This window comes from Homo sapiens, chromosome 17 (assembly GCF_000001405.40).
Source record: "Homo sapiens chromosome 17, GRCh38.p14 Primary Assembly".
Taxonomy (NCBI): Eukaryota; Metazoa; Chordata; class Mammalia; order Primates; family Hominidae; genus Homo; species Homo sapiens.
The window spans coordinates 37004387-37023011 of record NC_000017.11 but is presented as its reverse complement, the minus strand read 5'-3'; the positions used below and the strand labels follow the sequence as shown (position 1 = coordinate 37023011).

Sequence of the window (18625 nt, the reverse complement as noted above, 5' to 3'; positions counted from 1 at the left end):
AAAAATAAGATAATCATTCAGCCTAGTCACCTATGAAGTACTATTAGTAACATTTTTCTTTAAATCCTTGAAGGGGGCTGGGGGGAGACAGGTACGGAAGAGACGTGTCAGTAAACAAATAAATGAACACTAGGAAAAGAGACTGACCCAACCTTGGAATACTGATAGCAATAATAATGACAGTAATAATGGCAACAAACACTTGTACAGTGCTTAACTATGTACCTGGCACTATTCTAAGAGCCATACACACCCTATTCATTTAATCGTCACAGCAACCATTCAAGGCTGATATATTATCATATCCATTTTACAGATGAAGAAACTAGCACAGAGTTTAAGGGTCTTGCCCAAAGTAACTACTAATCAATGTCAAAGCTGGGATTCAAACTCAGGCAGTCTGGGTCTTAAGTCCATGCTCTTCACCTCTAAAAATGAACCTAGAGAATTATGAAGATTCGGAAATTTCAAGACATAAAAAGAGGTAAAGAAATTATAACAATTTAACCTGAGATTTTAAAAAAGCGACCCTAAATCAAAGGACGATACTTTGCAAAGCTGTTGATACTGTGTACTTCTGCAAAGTTAAAGAAAAATCAGCATTTCCTGATGAGTTGTGTTAAATACTAAAACAAGTTCATTAAAGTAATTGAGAAATCTACTTCTCTGAAGATCTTTAAAAATCAGATAGACCCACATTTGTCTAAAGGGAATTTAATGATAGGCAGGTTCTAATAAGGATGTGGGTTTAACTACCTGCCTAAAACTATCCTAACACAAGTTTAAGATTTTCTCTCAGTGTGCACCTGAATTACAGGTAGTTTGACACTGAGGCTTTGTGTGATGACACTGTGTTTCTCACACACACACACACACACACACACACACACACACACACGGCAGTTACCAAGTCTAAAAGTATAGCGAGGTCAATTTCCACTCTTGCTCCTTCTTTTATCTGTACCCTTATAAAACTCCTTAAAGAGCTCACAGGGGAGGATTTTCCTAAAGTCAGAAATTGCTCTATTTTCTCATAAACATTTTATTTCTCTTCTCATTTAATAACTTTGTTAACATTCCCTGTGGTCCTTCACTTATATCTTTTTAGCATACTGTGTGCACATATGGCATCATAAAAATGGACCAATAAGACAATAACATTTTTATATTTATTATTATTATTATTATTATTTTTTTTTTTTTTTTTGAGACGGAGTCTCGCTCTGTCGCCCAGGCTGGAGTGCAGTGGCGCGATCTCGGCTCACTGCAAGCTCCGCCTCCCGGGTTCACGCCATTCTCCTGCCTCAGCCTCCCGAGTAGCTGGGACTACAGGCGCCCGCCACTACGCCCGGCTAATTTTTTGTATTTATTATTATTATTTTTTAGATAGAATCTCGCTCTGTCACTCAGGCTGGAGTGCAGTGGCATGATCTTGGCTCACTGCAGCCTCCGCCTCCCGGGTTCAAGTGATTCTACTGCCTCAGCCTCTTGAGTAGCTGGGACTATAGGCACCCGCCACCACACCCAGCTAATTTTTGTATTTTTAGTAGAGATGGGGTTTCACCACGTTGGCCAGGATGGTCTTGATCTCCTGACCTCAAGTGATCTGCCCACCTCGGCCTCCCAAAGCACTGGGAGTACAGGCGTGAGCCACCACGCCTGGCCATAACATTTTTATATTATTCTATAGAAATTAATTGTTAAAGTTAATATAATTTCAACTATTTTACTTTTGTTTTCTTATTTTTTCTCTTTCAAGGGAATGCATATATTATTTCACCCATCTATTACAACAGTAGCACAAAAGTCAATGAAACTATATTTCCATTTTAGAATAAGAAAAACTGAGTTGCAATAAACCTTCAAATATTGTTTATTTTTCTGATCCTTAAAAACAGAATCATCAGAAGAAAAAGAAAAATGACATAACAGCCAGAATGTAAGAGACGAGATACATATACAATATATGTTGACATTTTTTCCGAAAAGTAACTCACCGAAGTTTCCTGCCTTTGCTGGCTTTCCTATCTACTTTTTTGTGGATTTTGCTTCGTAACTTCTGGATTGCAAGCCACTGCCTGGAAAATTCACAAGCAATGTTATGCATCATCACTAACAGAAATAGTTATACATATTGACAAATTGGAATTATTCTAACAACCCTGCAGAAAGAAATCATCAACCTACATCAAGTTCCTCAAGCTAGTTTGGGGCCAAACTGACTAATCAATTGAACAGGATTTGTGCAATGGTAAAAAAACAAACGGCAGCTGGGAAATTCTACAGCAAATTTGGTTCACAATGCTCCTTAGTATTTGGAGTTGCTGTGACAAGCACTAAATCTACCAGTCTGCAGGCAAACCCATCAGATTTAGTAGAGCTACTTGGGTTTTCTTTTAATGTTTTAGCTATGCAGCATGTTCTGTTACTAATGTTGCAACTGCTGGTTGGTTTGAATGCATGAATTTTTAAAATCTAACTTTCCCTTTGGTAATCCTCCAGTGCTTTTTCTTGTGCTTTCCAATTTTTGCTAATTTTTAAATAATTATCCACTACTGATACTAGTTTTTAATTGTTTTAAATTGTTTAAATTGTTTAAATTGTTAATTTTCATTTCATCTATAAATATTTCAGTACGTGTTGCTATACAAGAGAAGCGATAAGGACTCTTCTCCCCTCAATATAATCTCAATACCATTACCACATCTAAAAAAAAAAGTCAACAATAATTCTTTATTATCAAATATTCAGTCAGTCTTCACATTTCCTGGAATGTCTCAATTTTACAGTTGGCTTGTTTGGATCAGAATCCAAACAAGATTCACATATTCTGCAGTCATTTTAGATAAGAAGGAATTAATTTTTCAATAAGGGATATTAGGCTAAGAAAATCTTCATAAATTGCTCATATGAACTAAAGTGAAAAAAAGAAAAAGAAGGAGAAACAGCAGCAGCAGCTAGTCATCCTACCTGATTTATACAACGAAAATTCAACACCAGAAAAAAAAAATCTAGGGAAATCCAATTACTGTAATCTTAATATAATCTTAATTACCATAATCTATTTTATTGTAAAGTCAGATAAATGTACAATATAATCACCACTTAAATGCAATTTGCTCTATCACATTAAATTTATAGCGAACAGCTCTCTATAACATTCCAGAGATAAACGAAATATCAACATCCTACCCTAAAATTCACATAATATTTTACTTAAATAAAATTATTTCATCAACACAAATTTTTCACTGCTTTCTCGAATGGCTGCTCTGCCTAGAATCCCATTCTGGCACTTGCAGCTTTTGTTTCCTTTCATGCTTTTGCAAATTATGGCTCATGGCTATTTAAATGTACACTATTCATTAGGTAGCATTCTAAATGCCCTTTTTATTTTCCAACCACAGGATGAAGCATACACACAAGGGCCTTCCTTCACTACTTTACATTCTGCCCTGACATCTGGGTAATGCTGCCACGTTCCACTTCTAATTGTGCTGAAGCTTTTACTGAAGAGGTGGAGGTCTAAATTAGGGCAGACTCTAACAAAGCAGATTCGACTGAGAGCAAAGAACCTGTTGTGCGCAGTGCCATGTTCTGACAGCTGAGAGCTCACATTTGGATGGCTGCTTTGTATCCACTGGTCAACAGATTGATATGGATACAATCACAATGCAAAACCAGGGAGCAAAGAGCATAAGAAAGACTTTGGAAAACAAACTCTAAAAACAAACACATAGGTGTTTTATAATTTCTTTACAAATTGCACTTTAGGCAATGTAGGGTAAACAATTAGTCACATTTTCTTTCTAGCTCTTACTTGCTTAACTTCAATAATTATAGGACCAATCATTGCTTTGCAGGTAGAATTAAAGGGACTCAAGGGGAGAAACTATTACATAGGCTGCTTGCATGAACAGAAAGCTGTATCTAAATTACCTTCCCATGGCCACCTGATCGTTGGGATCCAAGGAGCTGGTCTTCCGTTCTATGAGTTCTCGAAGGAGCTAGGGGAAAAAGGAAAGCAACGAATTTATTTATCATCTTCCAGTACAACTGACTTTAAAAGGGCAGAGAAGGAATTCTGAATGGCATAGTGACAGCTCTAAAACTACAATCAATAAGGGACAACCCAGTGGCAAGAGCATTACTGAATTCCCGTTAACGCTTTCATAGTTATATATCTTTAAAAAGGTGGCTATAGCAGTAGCTGAGAACAGAAGTCCATTTGGAAGACTTATTGTACCGCAGTTCATTTCAAATAGATCAATGAGTATGCAACATTCCCTTCATTATTTTTATGATTAGTTTTGTCCACTCCATTGATATCAATGGAGAATCTTTAAAAGGTCAGGTGGGAAGGGCCGTGTGGCAAAAAGGGAAATGCATCAGCTTCTCACCAACAGGATAATGGTGCAAGGTTAACTTCTGAACTATAACCTCCAACAGTCAGGAAGGTCTTCCTCAGGCAAAAAGCCTTTACTGTATGTAATTAAAAGTGTGGGCATCGGCCTCTTGTTTTCCACAGCTGCTACTCTACCATGCTTGCTATTAAGTGCTTTAGCCACACATGATACCAACACATTCATAGCCACACAAATTTTAAGAGGGAATCTAAAGAAAGTCATTTGCATACTGCAAATATACCACAGAGGATTAGTCTCTCATCCAATACAATTAACTCCATGGGAGTTATTCTAAATGACTCTCCTACTGTCATTTTAAGCCTGACTCCTCTGCACCCAGTTGAAATCTACATCTGTACCTTTCATACAGACTTAAGAATCTGCACTGAATCTTAAAGTCCTTGGGCGAAGAGAAGCAATGGTTTTAAAAGTTAAACACTAAGGGAGAAAAACCCTGAATTACGATAATAGAACTATAAGTGCTATATGCAGAGAAAGAGAAACAGAGATTAAAATTCCAAAAATCTTCTGAGAGAAATTTAAGAGAAGACGCTAAGATAAACTAGTTCTGCTAATCATCTGTCAATAATCCAGGTTTGGCCTTAAAACTTGTTTCTTCATAAAAATTAGCAATGATTTTGTAGGTGAGGCATGGTGGCAATAGAGATATTTCATCAAATCAAATAGCTGAAGCCTGTGGGCTTCAGTGGTTCAAATGAAGAAAGAGAAATAAATTCCTCTGAAAGCAGATCTCTTTCTAATTTCATATGTTTATGTAAGTAGGCACTGGAAGAAGTAAAACAAATTTATAAAAAATATTCACTTCCAAAAGATGAATCTTTATTGCAAAAGGGAAAAGGATATCTCAATTGCAATTAGAAAACCTCCCATGATGTTTTTTCATTTGCTTATTTTGGACATTATTACTACAGCAATTATGTTTAAGAATGCAGGGACCAGAAGCCGCTGGTTTTATTATCACTAGAAAACAGCAAGCTATTTCTCTACCCTGTTTATCTGATTGATTCCCAACATCTTTCTGGCAGCCAATCTATCAGTTTATCTCTCCTACTTCATCACAGTCACTTCTGGCAGCTAAATACAAGATCCAAATCCAGTGTTACACAGACATATGACACAGTAAACCTATGTAACACTGCTGCTGTGTAAACAGCTGCCCTTAAGGCTAAGCAGAAATGGGCTTCTGGTTCCTAGTCAATATTCTGTCAAAAGCAAGGAGTAGGGGGAGTGAGGGGGAGTGGTTAATAATAATAAAGAAGAAGAAATAAAAGAGAAAGAAAAATAAAAAGGAAGGAAAATAATGGAATAACTGCATTTCATTGCCCTTACCTCGTTCCAGCCATACAAAAGATTACAACAACCGTTCCTGGTTTTCCTAATTTTCTCAGATCCCTTGAGACTGGGCAATCAGGGTCACCGGGGTGCAAGTGCTCATGGAAGGCTGCCCCAGCACAACAGGGTGATCCTCGGGAAGAATATGCCCTTGCCAAAGGCTGGAAATTGGAGCTCCCCACTGCAGTGGTCTCTGCAATTCCAACACCAAGTTGGTGCAGCATTTACTTTCAAACACTTTGTGTACTATACATATTCTGAGCTGCATTTTCGCACACAAGTGCTTTGCATAACTATTTTTACTCATTCATGACTTGGAAGATTGTTTTATTGGTCTATCTAGCTAGGTCTAGTTTATTCAGTCCAATATTTCAGAAGATTCTGTTGTGTCCATGGTAAGAAAAAGAAAGCAACAACAACAAAAAATACAGTTAAACAAATGATTCCCGTGGCTATTACTATTTTCCCAAAGCTACCACTATCACTGGGTTTAAATTTAATTAGAAAATTGCTTTCAAAACAGTTGCTAAAAAAAAAAAAAGAGATTTGAGATATTGGCTGAAGAATTCAATTTTACTTCTGATTTTAATTTGTATAGCTTTAACTTTACAAATAAACCTTTCTACTAAAATTCAAGTTTCTGTTACAATTATTAGAGCTTTTTATTTCAACAATGATGATATAGTATTTGTAGTAATTTTCTATGTGATTTGGAAAATGGAGAGAGAGAAAATGTTTTTGCTCTAGTCTGTTAAAATTCCTCCAGATAATCAATTCGGAAAGGCTTGATTATACCTCTAGTTCTAAGGGAAAATCATAGATACAGTTAGGTTTTCAGGTTGGCCACAGAAACCTATTTAACCCATACCAATATACATGAGGAACAGGACTAATAGTACTATTAAGCATCTAATCAACATTTATAATACTTTCATTAGAAAAAATGCATGCTAGAAACAGTTAAAAATGGCAGATTGAACACATTAGTTTATCTCTTCTCAACCCCTCTAAGAGACAGTTGAGGAATAAAATAAATATTAACTCCTAAGAAAAAAGAGAAAAGGAGCACTAATGTGTGCATATTTTCATAAATTTTTCCAAGACAGTAAGGAGATGGAGAAGTTATCACCCAAATGCCCAGAGTGAATAAAGGTGAAGATGAAGCTAATTGTATTAGGCCGCAGAATTCCTGTGAGGATCAGCTCTCTGGCAGTTACCACGCAAGGTGGGAAAAAGAGAAGGAGCAGAACCACTTGGGCCTCCTCCATTATCCCACACAGCCAAGTGACTAACCACCTCTACCACCCACCTCCTCTCGTGAGAGAAAAGAAATTTTATTCTTTGGAAATATTGAACCACAGAAGCTCCAGAATAGAGGATACCAGGCAAAGAAGGCTGGAATGAGGTACAAGGGAAAGGCTCTATGTTAATCTCTGAAACCTCTCCCTTTCTCCCACCTCATTTGTAGAAAGCTAACATCCCATTCTATAATTTCCTAGGCAGGAAAGCAGAGGAGCCTTTTCTGGAAGAAACTGAATGGTGTCTGCCCTCCCACCCCCAAAATTAGATTTCAAAGTTGCTATGGTCTTCTGCATGTGTCTCCCAAAATCCGTATGTTGAACACTTAATCCCCAATGCAACAGTATTGGAAGGAATGGCCTTTGGGAGGTGACTGAGTCATGCAGGCTCTGCCCTCGTGGATGGGATTAGGCGTCCCTCTAAAAGGGCATGATGGAGGGAGTCTGTCCCTTTTGCCTTTCCACCTTCTGCCATGTGAATTCCCTCAGAAGAATTCAGCATCAAGGCACCATCTTGGAAGCAGACAGCAGCCCTCTCCAGACAACAGAAACTGCCACCTTCTTGTTCTTGGACTTTACAACCTCCAGAACTGTGAGAAATAAATTTCTGTTCTTTTAAGATTACCTAGTCTGTGGTATTTTACTATAGCAGCACAAACAAATAGATATATAGAAAACAAAGCAAACAAATACAAATTCTGACATCCAAGGCTACTCTAACAAAGAGGTCAGTTCACAGCATAATTATATTTAAAGAAGCCAAAAAGCTCTGCCCAGGTTTCAGAGATTCCGAATAATAAACTTTAATGCTTTACTCTTAAATATGAACAGACAGTTAAGGATCGCCTGCATCTGAGGAAATCCTCATGCACAAACCAAACAAATAGAAAAGAGACTCAAGGAAGCAATGCAGAGAACAAAATAAATAATTAAAAAGGAGAAAAAAACCCCCAAAACTTACAATGAATATCCCAAGAGTGGGAGAGGGTATACTTTGATAAGAGCAGGATGCTGTGAAAAAGACTAAAATGAGAAATTAAACACTAAACAGAAAATTTTAAAAAATCCAACAGAAGAACTTAAATGAATGAAAATCTCTGATATAAAACAAAAAGAAAGCCAAAAGGCAAAAAGATAATATCCCCTTGCTTATTTGCAAGACAAGACAAAAATTTAGAGGATAATCCAGAAAGTCAAACATCTAACTAACAAAGGCTGGGAGAAAATGTTTGAAGGAATACTGAAAATTTTCCCAAATCAAAGAAAGAACAGGAATACAACTGCAAAGACCTAGTGCAATGAATAAAAAAGGGCCTCTGTCAAGACACATCATCATGAAATGTAGAACACCAGAGGTAAAGAGAAGATCCTAAGCAGTTAAAGAAAAAACAGGTTACATATAAAGAGGTGATCATATGTCCCAGTTTACCAAGAAAGTCCTGGTTTACACCTGTTGTCCTAATATGCTGTCAGACTAGCACTTTACCTGTCCCAGTTTTGATAATAAATTATACAGTCGCCCTACATATTAAAGAATGGAAATCTGAATGGGAAAAGACGTCTCAATAGCAAGAGCAGATAGCAGAGGACAGCAAGGTACCTTCAAAATTCTATGGAAAATGACTTCCAGACTCAAATTCCATATACAGCCTTATTATTATTATTATTATTATTATTATTATTATTACTAAGACAGTCTTGCTCTGTCACCCAGGCTGGAGTGCAGTGGTGCAATCTCAGCGCATTGCAGCCTCTGCCTCCTCAGCCAAATTATTAACCAAGTATAATGAGAGTTACATAAATGCATTTTTCATACACGTAAGGACTCAACAATTTACTTTCTGTGTACTCTTTCACAGAAAGATGTACTTCAGTAAATGAGTATACTAAAATCAAGACATAAGATATTAGAAACGAGAGGTCTAACTCAGGGAAGAAGCAAAGGCAAGTCCCAGGAATACAGCCAGCAGGCCTGGTGTGCAGCCACGCCAGAAGAGTCCAGAGAGCTCTAGGATGAGGTCTCCAAGGGGAAAAAGTAGAAGGGAGGTGCAAAAGGATAGGTTATTTTATATATTCAAGGCATGTGGAGTATATAGGGAAAAACAGCAATAGTTACACAGAAAACTAGGCAAATCTTTTAAAAACAGGCATTATTAGCTCTAGGAAAAAACAAATTTGTAAGAAAAATGTAATCATAATATAGCGCTTGTTCCTATAGTTGGGATGTTTGTCCCCTCCAAACCTCATGCTGAAATTTGCTCTCAATGTTGGAGGGGCCTAATGGAAAGTGTCTGGGCCATGGAGGTAGATCCCTCATGCATAGATGAAGTCCTCCCTTGGTTGTGGGGAGTGAGTTCCCGCTCTATTAGAGCCCAGGAGCTGGCTGTTGAAAAGAGCCTGGCATGCCTCAGTCCTCTAGCCTCCTCTCTTGCCACGTGATCTCTGCACATGCCAGCTCCCCTCCGCCTTCCTTCATGAACAGAAGCAGCCTGAGGCTTCCACTAGAAGCCCAAAATTCCCAGCAGCAGAAGAGTGAACCAAAGAAACCTTTCTTCCTCAAAAATTACCCATTCTCAGGTATTCCTTCATAGCAATGCAGAACAGACTAAGACACTTGAGAACAACATTTACTTAGTAATAATAATGTAAACACTGACTGACAGCCATACTAGCAGGTATGATACATTCTCATTGCAGCTTTGATTTGCATTTCCCTAATGGCTAATGATGCAGAGCATCTTCCTGTGCTTACTGGCCATTTGTATATCTTCACTGGAGAAATGTCTATTCAGACCCTTTGCCCATTTTAAAATGAGGTTATTTGTCTTTTTGTTATTGAGCTGTAAGAGTTCTTTATATATTCTGGATACCAGTCCCTTATTCATTTTCCTTCTGTAATGTCTTTTTGCTTTCTTGAGAGTGTCATTTGAGGCAGGAAAGTTTTTAATTTTGATACAGTCCAATTTTTTCTTTTGTCATTTGTGTTTTTGATTTGTATCTAAGAAACCATTGCCTAACCCAAGGTCATGAAGCTCTACTCCTATGTTTTCTTCTAAAAGGTTTATAATTAATAGTGTAGCTCTTATATTTAGGTCTATGATCCATTTTGAGTTAATTTTTATATATAGTGTAAGGTAGGGGTCCAACTTCATTCTTTTACATGTGGATATCCCATTATACCATTTGTTGAAAAGACTACTTACCCCACTGAGCTGTCTTGGCACCCTTGTTGAAAAACCAAGTAACTTTAAAAGCATTTTGGCTTTATGACCACATATTCCTTGGCTTTCTGAATTTGTGACCCAGAGTTATTGATTCCTACTTTTTAGGCTTCCACAGTTCATAGCCACAGATGCTTGAGAAGGAAAAAGCTTGGGGCAACCCTCTATCAAACTTACTTAGCCTAGCTGAGTCAGGGTTCCTCAAACTTCCTCACTGGGAGATACAAAAGCAGACTCAAAGGATTGGGTTTACTCTTCCTGTGAATTCCCTCTCTCTCCCACAAGACTTCTTAGTGAAAATGTATCTATTTTTGCTCTACCTCCTGCCTTACCTCCTTTTTTGGTTCTCAGCTCCCTAGTCTTTCAAATTATCCCCAAAAGGGCCGGGTGTGGTGGCTCACGCCTATAATCCTAGCACTGGGAGGCCAAGGCAGGCGGATCACTTGAGGCCAGAAGTTCGAGACCAGCCTGGCCAAGATGGCGAACCCCGTCTCTAGTAAAAATACAAAAAAATTAACTGGGCATGGTGGCGCATGCCTGTAATCCCAGCTACTAGGGTGGCTGAGGCAGGAGAAATCGCTTGAACCCAGGAGACGGAAGTTGCAGTGAGCCAAGATTGCGCCATTGCACTCCAGCCTGAGCAACAGAGACCTCAACTTAAAAAAAAAAAAAATTATCCCCAAAAGAAGTCTCTTGCAATTTTTATATACCATATTTGAGGCATACAAAAAATAAATTGCATATACTATAATTTCAAATAGTTGGGAAGGAATTACTATACCTTCCTATAATACAAAATTGGCACAAAATGACCTATTCCCCAACTATATGTTCCCACTCCACATTGCCCATTCACTCCCGAACCAACAACTCCACCACCTAATATTTCTGCTTCCATTATTCTATTCAAACTACCTGTGCTAAGGTCTCAAGATCTCTATGTCTAATGGGCATCTAGCACTACTCATCCTATTAGACTTCTTGAAGCAGCAACTGACACTGGACTTTCTCACCTCACTGAAACACTCTTTTCTCGGTATCAGTGAGGCATCTCTCTGTCTTTACTCCACATTCAGCCAGCCCCTCTAGCCAGCCATTAAATACTGCCACTCCTCACGACTCAGTTCCAATCTTTATTTTCTTCTCACTCCACAGGGTTTCCCCCAAGAACTTCCTTCTGTTCTCAAGGCTTCAATGACCTAAGAGTTACCCCTGGAAATTCCTCTTCCCTTACACCCAATATCTCAACTATCTCAAGTCTTATATTCACGAATTTGTCCACTTTTCTCCATCTCCGCTGCCTCCACCCAGTACAGGCTACTATCATCTTCATTCACCCCATACTTTTTTTTTGTTTTTGAGGCAGAGTCTTGCTCTGTCGCCCAGGCTGGAGTGCCGTGGTGCTATCTCTGCTCACTGCAACCTCCACCTCCCGGTTTCAAGCAATTCTCCTGCCTCAGCCTCCCGAGTAGCTGGGATTACAGGCGTGCACCACCACGCCGGGCTAATTTTTGTATAAATTTTTAGTTGAGACGGGGTTTTTCCATGTTGGCCAGGCTGGTCTCGAACTCCTGAACTCAGGTAATCCACTCGTCTTGGCCTCCTGAAGTGCTGGGATTACAGGCGTAAGCCACAACACCCGGCCCTCATACATATTTTTTGAGCACACTGGAGAAACAAGAATAAAACAGACATGGTCTTGCCTGAGGCAGTGTAATGATTTCCTCTCATTTACTCTTGTCCCTCCATTTTTGTCTCCTCATTGTACTCAAGAGTAGTATTTTCAAAAAGCAAATGTGTCAGGACATTTAACAGGGTACCACTAGGGCCCTTGTCTACCTCTCCAACCTAACCCACCTTCCGCCTCTGTGCTGCAGGCCCACCAGGCTTCATTCTGTACGTGAAATGCTCCGTGGGCCCTCACACCAGAGGCTGCTTCTGCATATGCACTGCGGGAACAGGCTTCCCTAGCCACTGACCTCCCACGCCTCCTCCTCTACTCATTTGTTAAATCTCCACTTCATCTTCTCTTCCTGAGGGAAACCTTTCTTAACCACAGCTGCACTCACACACATGCACCATACCTTTGCTGTTCTTACTGTACACTGTACTCATGGACTCCTTGATAACGTCTACCTCCTCCCCTTGCTGACTGTATGCTGTGTGAGAGCAGAGACTCCATCTGAACACAATCACCACTCCATCCCCTTCAGGGGCCCCTTGAAGGAGCTCCATATATACACAGAGGGGAAAATAATAATAATAATAATTTTTTTGAGATGGAGTCTCGCTCTGTCGCCCAGGCTGGAGTGCAGTGGCACGATCTTGGCTCACTGCAAGCTCCGCCTTCTGGGTTCACGCCATTCTCCTGCCTCAGCCTCTCAAGTAGCTGGGACTACAGGCACCCACCACCACGCCCGGCTAATTTTGTTTTTGTATTTTTAGTAGGGACAGGGTTTCACCATGTTAGCCAGGATGGTCTGGAGCTCCTGACCTCGTGATCCGCCCGCCTCAGCCTCCCAAAGTGCTGGGATTATAGGCGTGAGCCACCGCGCCCGGCCAGAAAACAATTATTTCTGAGAGAAAATACCATATCTGTGTTTGCTTTATCATTTCCCCCACCACACACACATACCATTTCAGTGTTTTTACACAAAAGGAGTCAATATACAATAACCTGGCTCTAATCCAGGGCACCATTATCGACCTAGGAATAGAGAAACCTACCTGTTTTTTGTCAGTTGTTTTTGAACATATCTTTGTCATTGCCATTTTCAATGATATGACTTCCCCACACAATATTCTCCTTCTCACATGTCTTACATAGGCCAGATGACCTACACAACAAACACATAGACTGGTCTATTCAACAAATCTGCATGGTTTTTTTTTTTTTTTTTTTTTTTTTTTGAGACGGAGTCTCGCTCTGTCGCCCAGGCCAGACTGCGGACTGCAGTGGCGCAATCTCGGCTCACCGCAAGCTCCGCTTCCCGGATTCACGCCATTCTCCTGCCTCAGCCTCCCCAGTAGCTGGGACTACAGGCGCCCGCCACCGCGCCCGGCTAATTTTTTGTATTTTTAGTAGAGACGGGGTTTCACCTTGTTAGCCAGGATGGTCTCGATCTCCTGACCTCATGATCCACCCGCCTCGGCCTCCCAAAGTGCTGGGATTACAGGCGTGAGCCACCGCGCCCGGCCTGGATGGTTTTAAGCGGATGAGAATTATCCTTTTTTCCCCTCCCCATTCCAAGAGTACTTGAATTTAAAATAAAAAAAACCATTTAACTGGGGCCAGGCACGGTGGTTCACACCTGTAATCCTAGTACTTTGGAAGGCCGAAGTGGGTGGATAACCTGAGGTCAGGAGTTTGAGACCAGCCTGGCCAACATGGTGAAACCCCATCTTTACTAAAAATACAAAAAAAAAAAAAAAAAATTAGCCGGGCATGGTGGCAGATGCCTGTAATCCCAGCTACTCGGGAGCCTGAGGCAGAAGAATCACTTGAACCCAGGAGGTGGAGGTTGCAGTGAGCCGAGATCGCGCCACTGCACTCCAGCCTGGGCAACAAGAGTGAAACTCCATCTCAAAAACCAAAACCCAAAAACCAAACCAAAACAAAAAAGCCATTTAACTATTTAAACTCATTCTTTGACTATTAAAATGATACAGATCTATACTCCCTCTTGTGTCTCATTTCCTAAAGGAAAAAGTTGGTTCTTCTCAGGAAATGAGAGCAAGCACATCTTTGGTGCTTCCTCTATACTCCCCACAAACCTTAACCTTTCCTGTAGTCTCTTTAAGTTGGTCCTTTTACTGCAAGACAGATGTCTTGACATCTTTGTAATAAAGGTCTGAATTAATTTCAGTTACAGTGTGTGTGGTTTTAGAGACAGGCCCTTGCTTTGTCGCTCACACTGGAGTGCAGTGGCATGATCATAGCTCACTGTGCCCCTGACCTCCAGAGCTCCCACCTTAGCCTTCTGAGCAGCTGGGACTACAGGCATGCATGCCCAGCTAATTTTTTCCAGTTCTTGTAGAGATGGGGTCTCTCTATGTTGCCGTGGCTGGTCTTGAACTCTTGACCTCAAGTGATCTTCCTGTGTCAGCCCCCCACACTGCTGGGATTACAGGGATAAGCCACCATGCCCAGCCTAGTTACAGGATTTTCTATTTAAATATCTTTTATCTATGAAATAGGCTTGTCAAATACCAGTTACAGGTTTCCATCTCCCACTCTCTAAGAGCTAATGCTTCTAGGTATGAATTTTCACTTATGTGAAGTGTGTACTGCACAGTTCAATCTAAGTGTAACTATCTGCCAAAGAGTCTGACTTACCTGTCTTGAATTCCAGCTCTGCCCTTTACTACCTGTGTAGTTTAAGACAAGTTCCTTGAGCTCCCTGAGATTCAGTTTCCTCATCTTATAAAGTGGTAATTATACCTCACAAAGTTGTTTTGGGACTTAAAAAGATGATAAAAGTAAAGCACTCAGCAAAACGTAAGTATTCAATAAACAGAAATACTGTGGAACATCAGATCATGCTCATAGATAGTCCCTAAACCCCATTTAGGTTAAAATAAATCATCTTCCACAGCTAAATCGCCACAGCTGCTAACAAGCAACAAGTACAGTAATTCAATTTTCCTTTCTACTGATTTTCAAACATAGGTAACAAATAAGATGTGTAACAAATAAGAGTGAAAGGATAAAAATGTAACAAGTATAGAAAACCCGCAAAAATGGTAAGTCATACATTTAAAAAGTATGCTATGGGTTAAAGGACTTTTCCAAACTAGATCATGAGAAACTGGAGCAGAAGTCATCCTCTCCTTTATCATTTATTCTGTTTGAACTATCTGCGATTCTCTTTTCCTGACCTTCAGCTCCCCCACAATACCCTGATTACACAATTCCTTTATGTAGAAGGCCTCCTTCCAACCTCAGAGTATCTAAAATCCTGGCCATCCTTCTTTGAAAGCCCAGATCAAATGCCATGTCCTCTTCGCTGGAGCCTTCTCTAATTCCCTGAAACTATTATTTTTCTCCCTTTTCTGAATTCTTCGATACACACTCACCAAGCGTTCTGGTTATTTATGTTTATGTCATCTTGCTTGCTTGACTATGAGCTTCTTGCAGGCAGGGGATACATCTGACTGAAACTCTTACCCCTAATACCTGGAACTCCACCACTGCCTTTGCATACAGTGATTATTCAATAATATTTCTAAGGGCTGGGCACAGTGGCTGATGCCTGTAATCACAACGCTTTGGAAGGCTGAGGCAGGGGGATCACCTGAGGCCAGTAGTTTGAGACCAGCCTAGGCAATGCAGTGAGAACCTGTCGCTAAAAAAAAAAAAAAAAAAAAAAAAAAATTAAATTAGCCAGGTGTGGTGGCATACACCCATAGTCCTAGCTACTTAGGAGGCTGAGGTGGAAAGATAGCTTGAACACAGCAGTGTGAGGTTGCAGTGCGCTATGACTGCACCACTATGGTCCAGCCTGGGTGACAGAGTGAGACCCTATTTCAAAATAATATTCCTAAAATCAAAGAGTCAAGTAGCAAGCAGTCTTCTAGATTTTGTCAACAAGCATGAAAAGCAGCCACCTTTTGCAAGGGGAAGTGCAATATTTACAGAATGACACAGGGAAGAATGAAAGGAAATCAGGTTATGCAAATAAGGTCTAAGAAGCATCTTAATACTAAAGTTACAAATAGTCCACCTTTGGTTACTCAAATAAGAGAATGTATAGCTAGAGGCTACCACTGAAAAAGTCAGCCTAATTCTGCCTCACTGCCCTTGGTCTTTAAGGATTTGATTAGTTTTTCCACTTTTTGATTCTGCGTTGCAGCATGCCTCCACTCCGGAGCTAGCGCTAAGGCCTATGATTTGGAAGAAATGATAAATTCATTCATTGAATAAAGCAGTACTATTTTCTCAGCACAAGCCCTAAAATACTTCAAAGGCCATAATATTTCACTAAGCTTGGCCATTGGGTTAAAATTTATTAGTCAACACAGAAAACTTTCTCATCAGACCCCATATATTTCCATTAGGCATGATATATCGTGTCTCCCAATGTCTAATTATTAACTAGAAGTGTAAGTAAATCACTATCAGTATTAGGCCCTGATGAGTGAAGACAGAGTAAGAATTAAAGCAATTCAAATGCTAAAAAACTTGCCAATTTGCTTTTCTGTTTCCAACAAATAAAAGGAATTTTACAAGGACTAAGTGACTGACTTATGCAATTCTTTTTTTTTGAGACGGAGTTTTGCTCTTGTTGCCCAGGCTGGAGTGCAATGGTGTGATCTCAGCTCACCGAAATCTCAGTCTCCTGGGTTCAAGCGATTCTCCTGCCTCAGTCTCCCTACTAGCTGGGATTACAGGCATGCACCACCAAGCCCAGTTAATTTTGTGTTTTTAGTAGAGATGAGGTTTCACCATGTTGGTCAGGCTGGTCTCGAACTCCTGACCTCAGCTGATCCACCCGCTTTGGCCTCCCAAAGTGCTGGGATTACAGGGAAGAGCCACCGCACCTGGCCCTCTTTTTTTCTTTTTTAAATTTAAGGAAACCTCTTTTTTTTCTTTTTTTAGAGACAGGGTCTTGCTCTGTCACTCAGGCTGGAGTATAGCGGCACAATCATAGTTCACTGTACAGCCCTGAGGTCCTGCGCTCAAGTGATCTTCCTACCTCAGCCTCCTGAGTAGCTGGGACCACAGGCGCAAGCCACCATGCCTGGTTACTTTTTTTACTGTTTATTTTTTATAGAGATAGGGTCTCACTATGTTGCCCAGGTTAGTCTCAAGCTCCTGGGTTCAAGCAATCTTCCCACCTTGACCTCCCAAAGTGTTGGGATTGCAGGAGTGAGCCACTGTACCCAGCAAGCCATGCTTTCTAATCCATACTAAAAGTAACAATGTACAGAAGGTGCTGTTTAGATTTTCCAAGAGTTCCCACTTCAAAAATTCTGCCCATTGGTCACTAGATGGATGTCTTGGTGTGTACCTCCCCCTCCATTTATAATAAAGGCAGGAAGAAGGGTTTTAGATCCTCTCAGATACCAGCTCAGTTACTATTTTTTAGCATTATTTAGCAGGGTTTCTTTTACTATATGTCATTTGTGTTTAAAGAATAAAAAGGAAGTCATTCTGAACTAGAGAACGATTCACAAGTAGGAAACTGAAAGGGTAGTACTAACTTGTATTCTGTGATTATGTCCCTTAAGAACCAAAAGCCCAGCTGAAATAAATCTCTCCCTATATTTCCAGCATTCTCCCTCTAGCCTTCAGATGCCAATAATTCTTCAGCCCCACCAGAATCAATAAACCATCAATCCTGCCACCTTTTCAGCATCCCTCTTCCTCTCCTCCTGTGCTTACTTCTCTCCTTACCCAGGTGAATGAGATTCCAAAATCCATCAGGATAATCACCCCTGATATACACCCTGAACTCCCCTGCAAGCTATCCTTTTGTCGTACAGACCCACAGTCCCTTAGGGATAGATGTATCTTGGAATTCAGAATGTTTCATATTTTAGAAAGGTAATACACTGCATATGTCATAAATGTGTCAGCGGAGTCTGGGGCAGCACCCCAAAGTCAAACACAAAATTTCTGTAGCAAAATATATATTCCCACATATATGTGATAAATAAAGCCTATAAATAGCTTCATGTTCATTCAGATCAGGTGCTGCCACCACAATAGTTTGCCAAACTTACCAAAACAAACAAAACTACGAGTTTTCAGATTTTTAATCTCGGAATTGTTGGCAAGGGATTATTTCCCTGTACTTCGGTGGCAAAACCCCAAGCCATGTTAAATCTCAGTACCTGCATCCACATGGATGAATGTAGTGAGAGAAAGACCAGATCTTGCAAACTGGCCTCACTTTCATATTACCAGTAACCTGTGGGTCTTTTAGGCTACCTGACAGTGCAGCTACGCTTTCCTAGTCCATTCACTCTCTGAGGTAACTTTTTCTTACCCTCTCTTTTCTCAAACCTCCATATCCTCCTACATCTTATCACTCTCGGCTCCTTCATTCATAAGAAATACCATAAAATAACATAGAAGCACTCACATGAGGACTCTGCACATGCTCTCACCCCTTACCTCCCTGCAACTGTACTCATAAGTCCTGCCTTCCCTCTATCCATCACACCAACCCCTCCCTACTTGTGTACTGACCAGCAATTCCTACCTTTTTCCTGCAACATCCATTTTTACCTCTCTACGGGATCATTTCCATCAACATACAAAATACATCTCCTATCTTAAAACTCTCTCTCAAACCTTCCAGCAGCTGTCCCATTTCTCTATTCCCATTACAGCAAACCTCCT

General features: G+C 40.3%; 1 protein-coding gene across 2 annotated transcripts in view; it reads right to left on the bottom strand.

Moving 5' to 3' along the window:
• The window catches only part of AATF (apoptosis antagonizing transcription factor), a 107918-nt gene that overhangs the window by 33860 nt on the left and 55433 nt on the right, over positions 1-18625 (bottom strand). For both annotated transcript variants that reach the window (NM_012138.4, NM_001411094.1), the window contains exons 9-10: positions 3940-4007; positions 1998-2078 (exon numbers count right to left, since the gene is read on the bottom strand). In NM_012138.4, coding sequence (NP_036270.1) covers positions 1998-2078; positions 3940-4007 — 149 coding nt within the window. The remainder of the gene's footprint in view (positions 1-1997; positions 2079-3939; positions 4008-18625) is intronic.